The 9,330-nt window shown below is 42.3% G+C and overlaps 1 pseudogene; it reads left to right on the top strand.

Annotated features, from left to right (window-relative positions):
- Nucleotides 500-2,451, top strand: GTF2IP9 (general transcription factor IIi pseudogene 9; annotated as a pseudogene).

Genomic DNA, 9,330 nt, shown 5'->3' with positions numbered 1-9,330 from the left:
GGGAGCACTCACAGCATTCCTGGGGCATTCCTGTCCATTATTTCAATACCTGGTGCTGATGTTTCCTGTCTCTTGTCAGGAATCCTGTCTACTGTGTGTCTGATGACATGAACTTACTGAGTGCTGCTTAGTTGCATCATAGACACCACCTGTCTTTGAACAGCTACCCTGACTCTTGATGGAATGCAAAGGCTGCCGAGGGCCACTGGTGTGTGGAATGGCCTTCGGTCATTTCTGCTTAGAACACAGAGGTCATTTTGGCTACTAACATAACTCTTCTTTTGAGTGAAAGGGTTAAAATGTTCCTCCCAAAAGTACTTAATTTTTAGGCTTGTTCTTCAGATGTGCCCAATATCCTAAGCAAAATGCCTTCAATATGAAGTGAATATTGCTTGATTGTAGGGAACTTGTCCATAATGTACTTGAGAATGCAGATAAAAATAAAAGAATGTCTGTGTCAAATTTTATTTTTCACAAATTATGTTCTCTTTCAGCTTAAGCTCTTGGACTCACTGAGGCAGTAAAAGAACCATATCCTGTGTTTGAATCAAACCCCGAGTTCCTGTATGTTTAGAAGGTTTGCCAGACAGGATTCCCTTTTGAAGCCCTCCTGGTTTGGAATTCCATGACTTAAAAGGATCGTCCGTGGGAGTAATAACATCAAGTCTGTTGGTAAAAAGTAAGTTTTAGGCCAGGTGTGGTGGCTCATGTCTGTAATCCCAGAACTTTGGGAGGCTGAGGCGGGCAGATCACCTGAGGTCCGGAGTTCGAGACCAGCCTGGCAGACATGGGAAAACCCTGTATCCACTAAAAATACAAAGAATTAGGTGAGCATGGGGGCGGGCACCTGTGATCCCAGCTACTTGGGAGGCTGAAGCAGGAGAATCACTTGAACCTGGGAGGCAGAGGCTGCAGTGAGCCAAGATCACAACACTGCACTCCAGCCTGAGTGACAGAGCGAGACTCTGCCTCAACAACAACAACAACAATAAAAAGTAAGTTTTATTTGCCACTGTCGTCATTTCTGGAATTAAAACAATAAAATGACATTTCTACTAAAACGTTTTTCTAGCTAGAGGTGACAGGTGTGGCTGTAAGTCCTTGATGGAAAAGCCTGGCTCTGAGCCACAGTCCTGGCACTCTCCATTGCCCCTGCCATTCCCCATCCCGTACTCAGTCATCTTCATCAGTGCAAGAATAGTGACCGCTGCCTCCACGATGTTCAGACACACTGTGGTGGCATGCACTATACCTAAGTACTTGAATGAAGTTTAATCTGCTGGGTTTTTTCTGCTCTGTTATTCCTGGGTCAATCTTATTAGCAAGTAAATATTGATGATTGAGTTTCTTCTCCTTTTTCTGAGACAGAGTTTCACTCTTGTTGCCCAGGCTGCAGCGCAATGGCGCGATCTCCACTCACTGCAACCTCTGCCTCCCAGGTTCAAGTGATTCTCCTGCCTCAGCCTCTGAAGTAGCTGGGATAACAGGCATGCACCACCATGCCCGACTAATTTTTGTATTTTTCGTAGAGATGATGTTTCACCACGTTGGTCGGGCCGGTCTCAAACTCCTGACCTCAGGTGACCCACCCACCTCAGCCTCCCAAAGTATGGGGACTGCAGGTGTGAGCCACCATGCCTGGCCTGATGATTGAGTTTTTCTTATTATATCTGCATTTCTGCAGAACTTTAGTGGCTGAAGAAAGTACACTAGTGTTAATTTTCTTTTTCATGAAAGAAGTAATTTACTCTTCAGACAATTACTTGCCAGTCATAGGAAGGAAAAGTCAGGGTTTTCATCCACAATGATAGGAATTATTGTGACATTACAGGATGACTCTGTGATCAGCTTTAGGAAAAAACCCTGGTCATATCACAACCGTTTTACTAGCTGTGAGGCCACCATTGTTGGTAAAAAGTAAGTTTCTTTCTAGACCTGAACTAGTTATTTCCTAGTTACCTCCTGGAGTGGCTAATAAAATAAACACTAAAGGTAAGAGATTACCTGTATTTCGTATTATATTTCACTGCATTAAGACACTCTATATCAGCATTTTTTAAATCACACAGAATCATTGTCCACTATCTTTGTGGGACTTGCAGTTAGTTTCTTGCCTTTTTAAGGTATTTTATTTAATGGACTTCTTTTTCTTTAAAAAAATTTTGTTGGAAGTGTCACATTTGCAATCCCACTTCACTCATGTTTCCATGGCTTTGTTGAGCCCCCTGTGGAGGATTACACTACAAGTTTAATTCTGCAGGTTTCTTTGAAAAGAGTCAAACTGAAAGAATTTTAATGCTCTGCTCTTATAAAGCATCTCCTTCTGTATTTTTTTCTACAATATACTAAAGTAATTCTGTGCTCTATTTTACAGCTTCGCAGTTTCTAAAAAGACCACGAAGCCCTGAGAGTAATGAAAAGGTTCCTGAAATTGAGGTCACTGTGGAAGGTAAGGGCCAGTCCTTGCCATGTTTCTGTTAATTCTCCAGTTTAATAGTTATGTCAATTCACTAGCTTCATGTTTATACAGATGAAGGTAACCAAACTAGTTTTACCTGTGAACAGCTGCCTGTGATAAAGCTAAATTTCTGAATGTCTTTAATTGAAATTTTGAAAATTATTAACAGGGAGTAAATAACATGGATCACATCATAAACTGCACTAAAGAAAATCCCTAAAATGCTTTTCCTTTATTACAACAAATAAGGGTGCAGAGGGTCACATGGAATGTTTCATCTTTTGTCTGCTTTTTTTTTTTTTATTCTTTTAAGGAAAGGAAGTTGAGGGGTGGTTTAAACAGCAGTGCCTGGAATCAAAGTATTTCCTACGACACCCTCTAATGTACTTCCTTCTCTCCATGCCCACGGGGTCTGCAGGGTTCTCATCTTTTCATGTTCACAGTATTAAAATACTTCATACAATACCAAAGACAGTTCCCAACCAACCATCAAATATGGGTATTTCTTCCATCTCCTCATAATTGCAAAAGGAAATAACTGCGTTAGGATCATTCTTTTTTATTTGGAGATGAAAGTCTCGCTCTGTCATCCAGGCTGGAGTGCAGTGGCATGATCTCTGCTCACTGCAGCCTCAGCCTCCTGGGTTCAAGCAATTCTCCTGCCTCAACTTTCCGAGTAGCTAGGACTACAGGCGCACACTGTCACATCTGGCTAATTTTTTTTTTCTTTTTTTTTTTTTTTTTTTGAGACGGAGTCTCGCTCTGTCGCCCAGGCTGGAGTGCAGTGGCGCGATCTCGGCTCACTGCAAGCTCCGCCTCCTGGGTTCACGCCATTCTCCTGCCTCAGCCTCCCGAGTAGCTGAGACTACAGGCGCCCGCCACCAAGCCTGGCTATTTTTTTTTTTGTATCTTTAGTAGAGGCGGGGTTTCACTGTGTTAGCCAGGATGGTCTCGATCTCCTGACCTCATGATCCACCCGCCTCTGCCTCCCAAAGTGCTGGGATTACAGGCGTGAGCCACCGCGCTTGGCTACATCCGGCTAATTTTTTGTATTTTAGTAGAGATGGGGTTTCACCATGTTGCCCAAGCTGGTCTCAAACTCCTGAGCTCAGGCAGTCTGCCTGCTTCGGCCTCCCAAAGTGCTAGGATTACAGGTGTGAGCCGCCGCGCCCAGCCTAGGATCATTTTTTTCTGTCCTAGGTGTTGATTTTTTAAATAAGAGTTTGCAGTACTGGTGTTTAGTGGTGCAATAATTTCCATTTAATCATCTGGCATACGCAGAGAGTATACCAGATGACTGAGAGTATATCTCACAGAGAGTATACCAGATGACTGAATGGGGATTAGAGCGAGTATTTAAACTCTTCATTCATTGATCCTGTTAAAGGAAAGCTTACTTAATAACATAAACTCTTGGTTATGAATTAGATGTTTCTCCTATGAAAGCTTGTGGGGATCTTTGAGCAACTTAATACCTGATTATTTCTGTTCAAAAATGCCGAGAACTAAAAATCCATTCAAACCTTTACTTTTCTCCTTTTGGAAAAGTGCATGAGGTGTTCCTTTTGGTAAAAAGACACACTGTGCGACCACAGAGACCTGAGCCTGAACCCATGAAGATGTGAACAAGGTGAACAATGAGACTATGTAAAGGGGAGGTTAATTCCAAGGTGACAGGAACTTTATGGAGAAGATTATGATTTCTACACTTTGTATCCCCTTCTAACTCTAGTATGAAGTTACATTGTATACGTTGGTGCTCTAATCTCAGTCTGTGGATATTAGATATTAAGATTGGGGAGAAAATAAAACAGCCAGTTAATGTGCACCATTTTTATAGGCACTGTCAGTAGCATATAAGAAATAGCATGTTTCTCAAAAGTAAATTAGTTCATAGTAGTCAGTTGGCACATTTGGCAGGTACTTCTGTGAACTTTTTTTTGCTATCTTTAAACTCTTCATTCATTGATCCCGTTAATCCAAAGCTTATTTAATAACATAAGCTTTTGGTTGTCAATTAGATGTCAGGAAAAACAGAGAAATGAACAGCTAATATAATGAGTTAAAAGGATTGAGGCTGTAGGAATAATGTTACCAAGAATAACTTGAGGATTGTTTGCTACTATAGCTAGCTGTGATTATCAAAATAGGGAGATGCCTGTTTTTCTCACATAAAAGTAATTGTGCAGGTAGGCTGAGGCTGACATTGGTTCAGTTGCTCAAACATGGTAAGACTGGCTTCCCTGTGCCTCTCTTCACTCTCCTTTCTGGTGCACAATGACCAAGAGAGCTCCTGTCGTCATGTCTCCATCCATCATGTCTCCATCCAATTATAAGTAAAGAAAATGCAGCATGAGCCCTGCCTGCACCCACAGTCAGGAAAAGCAAGAGGCTTTTTTTGAATCCTAGCAGAATTTTGCATAAGCCTCTTGGTTTTAAAAAAGGTGAATTTTAAAATAATAAAATAAAATAAAGCACAAACTCTGAGGCCAAGGTAATAGGATTTAAATCTGTGCTCTGCCACTTAGAAAAATTACTTAAATTCTCTATTCTTTAGGTTGCACACATATAAAATGGGAGGAAGAAAATAATATTTGACTCATGGTTTTTAAAATTTGAGGTGTTATTTCTTTAATAAACAGCTGCTATCATTTGAGAACACTTGCTATTTAGGCAGTTAGGAATTTTTCATTAGAAGGGATGTAAAGAAAGACGATGGGCATTTGTAATGGATTTAACATTCATCATTTGGCTGCCTGACTGACCCCCAGAGCTGTGATTTTACTAATGAATTTTTCAGAAGTCCCTTAGCTAGCAATGAGCCTAACCAGCCTCCCACTCTCACCATTCAGTGCTCTTGTTCTTATGTGTTTCTCTACAAACTTGGTTACTCTCACAAAGTGATAAAAACTTGCATTTCTTTTCTTTCCTTTTTAGAGACAGGATCTTGCTCTGTCACTCAGGTTGCAATGCAGTGGTGTGATCATGGCTCGCTGTAGATTCAAACTCCTGGGCTCAAGCAGTACTCCCGCCTCAGCCTCCCAAGTAGCTTGGACTACAGACGTACACCACCATGCAAAGCTAAATTTTTTATTTTTTTGTTGTAGAGATGGGATCGTGTTATGCTGCCCAGGATGATCTCAAACTCCTGTCCTCAATTGATCCTCCTGTCTCAGCCTCCCAAAGTGCTGGGATTATAGGCAGCCATGGGCCATCTGGGTCCAGTCTGCTATTTTCTTTTTTTAAATAACAACTTTATTGAAATGTAGTTCACATACCATGCAATTTGTTTATCAAAGTATGCAATTCAGTGGTTTTTAGAATATTCATGGAGCTGTGATCTATCACCACTATCCATTTTAGAAGCTTTCATTACCCTATAGAGAAATCCGCTGTTCTTTGCCACTAGCTAAGAACATGGCGGGGAGTAAGCTAGTGGCTTACTCCCCTCAACGCTTCTGTGTTCCCCATAGGCAACCACTGATCTATTTTTTGTCACCATAGATTTGCCTAATCTGGACCTTCTATATAAATAGGGTTGTGCAATATGTGATTGTTTGTGGCTGTTTTTTTTTTTCCCTCTTAGCACAGTGTTTTCAGAGTTCCTTCCTGTCATAGCATGTGTCAGTATTTCGTTCCTTCTATGGCTGAATAATATTCCATGGTACAGAAACACCACATTTTATTTATTCTTCAGTTGATGAACATTTGGGTTGTTTCCATGTATTGGCTGTTAATGAATAATGCTCCTATGAAGATTCATGTACAAGTTTTTGTGTGGACATACATTTTTATTTTTCTGGGATATATACCTAGGAGAGAAATTGTTGCATTCTATGATGTTGTACATTTAGCCTTTTGAGAAACTGTTTTCCAAAGTGGTTACACCAGTCAGGTGCAGTGACTGATGTAATCCCAGCTACATGAGAGGCTGAGGTGGGAGGATCACTTGAGCCTATGAGTAAAGAGAGACCAGCCTGGGCAAGATAGCAAGACCCTGTCTCGGTTTTTGAAAAATCAAATTAAAATGACAAGAAGACAGGTGCGGTGGCTTATGTCTGTAATCCCAGCACTTTGAAAGGCTGAGGTGGGTGGATAACTTGAGGTCAGGAGTTCAAAACCAGCCTGGCTGGGTATGGTGGCAGATGCCTGTAATCCCAGCTACTCGGGAGGTTGAGGCAAGGAGAATTTTTTGAACCCAGGAGGTGGAGGTTGCAGTGAGTCAGGATCACACCACTGCATTCCAGCCAGGGCAAAAGAGTGAGACTCTGTCACACAAAAAAAGTAAAAATATAAATAAATAAATAAAATGACAAGAAAAGAAACACCCAAAGTAGTTAAACCATTTTGTGTTCCCACCAGTAATGTATGTGGGTTCCAATTTCTCCACATTTTCACCAACATTTCTTTTTTTGAGACATGATCTCGCTGTGTCACTTAGGCAGGAGTGCAGTGGTGTGAACACGGCTCACTGCAGTCTCGAACCCCCAGACACTCGTGATCCTTTTATTTCAGCCTCTTGAGAAGTTGGGACTACAGTCAAACTCCAGCACACTCAGCTAATTTCTTTTATTTTTAGTAGAGACAGGATTTCACTATGTCGCCCAGGCTGGTTTCTAACTCCTGGACCCAAGTGATCCACCTTCCTTGGCCTCCCACACTGCTGGGATTATAGGTGTGAACCACCATGCCTGGTCCTCTCTCTCTTCTCTCTCTTCCCTTTCTTTCTTGGTAGAAGGAAACGTGTCATGTACCAGCTATCCATCCAATGACTGCCCATCAGTTCCATATTCACCCTTCACTGCCTGATCTGCAAACATAGAGGTGGGTTCCTTAAATGCTTCTTCTGTCAGCTGGTACATGATTAAATGTTGTCAGTACATAGTACTAGAGGGACCTTGTAAGAGGCTTTTCTTTCTGGTTGTGGTGTGCGAATCTCCACAGGCACTGAGCTTCTCCAGTACCGGGCTCTTGCCCTGCACGGTGCTCAGCAGCACCCAGTGACCAGCAGTTTCTCTGCACCTGCCTGGGTGGATTTGTAGTGAGACAACTGTTCATTAATAGCTTAATCTAGCACCCCAGAGGGTGAATTTTCAGCAAATTCCAGAGGGCAGATTGCTAGCATGTTCGACCATGTGGTAATGCAGCAATTCTGCTATTGAATTACCCATGACTGTGCTCTCTCCAAGTGGGGGCTGGATCTCAGCCATAGTGGGGGAGTCTTTTCCTTGATCACAGTATCTCAGCATTGGGACAGTAGGGACAGTTACTGCTTGTTATATCAGCTGGTCCTATACTCTTTTTGGAGACAGGGTCTCCCTCTGTTGCCCAAGCTGAAGTGCAGTGGCAAAATCATGGTTCACTGCAGCCTTGACTGCCCTGGCTCGAGCAATCCTCCCACCTCAGTCTCCTAAGTACGTAGGACTATAGGTGTGTGCCACCACACCCAGGTTTTTTGTTGTTGTTGTTAGTTAGTTTGTTTGGGTAGAGACAGGGTCTCACTGTGTTTCCCAGGCTGGTCTCAAACTCCTGGCCTCAAGGAATCTTCCTGTCTTGGCTTCCCAAATTGCTGAAATTATAAACATGTGCCACCATGCCTGGCCTCTGCTAGTCCTATATTCTCTAGCATTCTCTTTACTTTTTGGTAGCAAATCTCTCATTATGCTGTTGCCCTGTTATAATTAATAATTTTTTATTTTAAATTTAACACTTTAAACTTTTGAGTGGTTTATGTCTCCTGTTAGGACTCTGACAAATACAGAATTGATGCTAGGAAGGGTCCCGGGAGATAGACCCAGACAACTGGGATTTGGGGATGGGTTTGGTTATCCAAGGGGCAGCGCTGAGCTCCTTGCCAATGGGAAATGGGATGCTGGTGATTTCCAGGAAGTGACCTCATAATGACTCAAGCTACCACTTACTGTTGATTGTGATGAAATGCCAGTGGAGGCACATGCCTTGGGAGCTAAGTGGCTGCTGCACTTGACCACTATGAAGACTGGTGTGGGAAGAATCCTTTTGGATGCACTTCAGCAGGGACCCCTGATCCCTGGGTCACAGGCCTGTACTGGGCCACACAACAGGAGGTGAGTAAGGGTGGGTGAGCGAAGCTTCATCTGTATTTACAGCCGCTCCCCACATTACCACCTGATCTCTGCCTTCTGTCAGATCAGTGGCAACATTAGATTCTCATGTGAGCACGAACCCTATTGTGAACTGTGCATGCAAGGGATCTATCTTGCTCTGTCCTTAGGAGAATCTAATGCCTGATGAACTGTCATTGTCTCCCATCACCCCCAGATGGGACCATCTAGTTGCAGGAAAAGAAGGTCAAGACTCCCACTCATTCTACATTATGGTGAGTTATGTAATTATTTTGTTATATGCTACAATGTAATAATAATAGAAATAAAGTGCACAATAAATGTAATGTGCTTTATATATCCCAAAACTGACCTTCGCTGCCCCTAGTCTATGGAAAAACTGTCTTCCACAAAACCGGTCCCTGGTCCCCCCAAAATTGGAGACCGCTGCACTTGAGCACTTACAGAGAGAAAAGCAAAAAGCTCAAGTCTTTACCTCTCAGCATAAGTCATGGTCTGAGATCCAGAGAGCTCCCATGATAGCACAAACACAATTCCTTATTTCTTGTATCCACAGGGGTGATATTATTGGTAATCAATATCAATTGGTAATCAATAATTATTAAACGTGTTGGTTGCTGAATTACCATGACAGTTGAATTCACTGTGTCACCAGGGTTCTCATGATAATGTTAGGGCACTAATAAGTGAAGAATGGGAACTTTTTCTCTTTTCTTTTTTTTTTTTTTTTTTGAGACAGTCTTCCTGTGTTGCCCAGGCTGGAGCACA

This window comes from Homo sapiens, chromosome 7 (assembly GCF_000001405.40).
Source record: "Homo sapiens chromosome 7, GRCh38.p14 Primary Assembly".
Lineage (NCBI taxonomy): Eukaryota > Metazoa > Chordata > Mammalia > Primates > Hominidae > Homo > Homo sapiens.
Note: the sequence above shows the minus strand (reverse complement) of the source record. Positions and strands in the feature narration are given on the sequence as shown.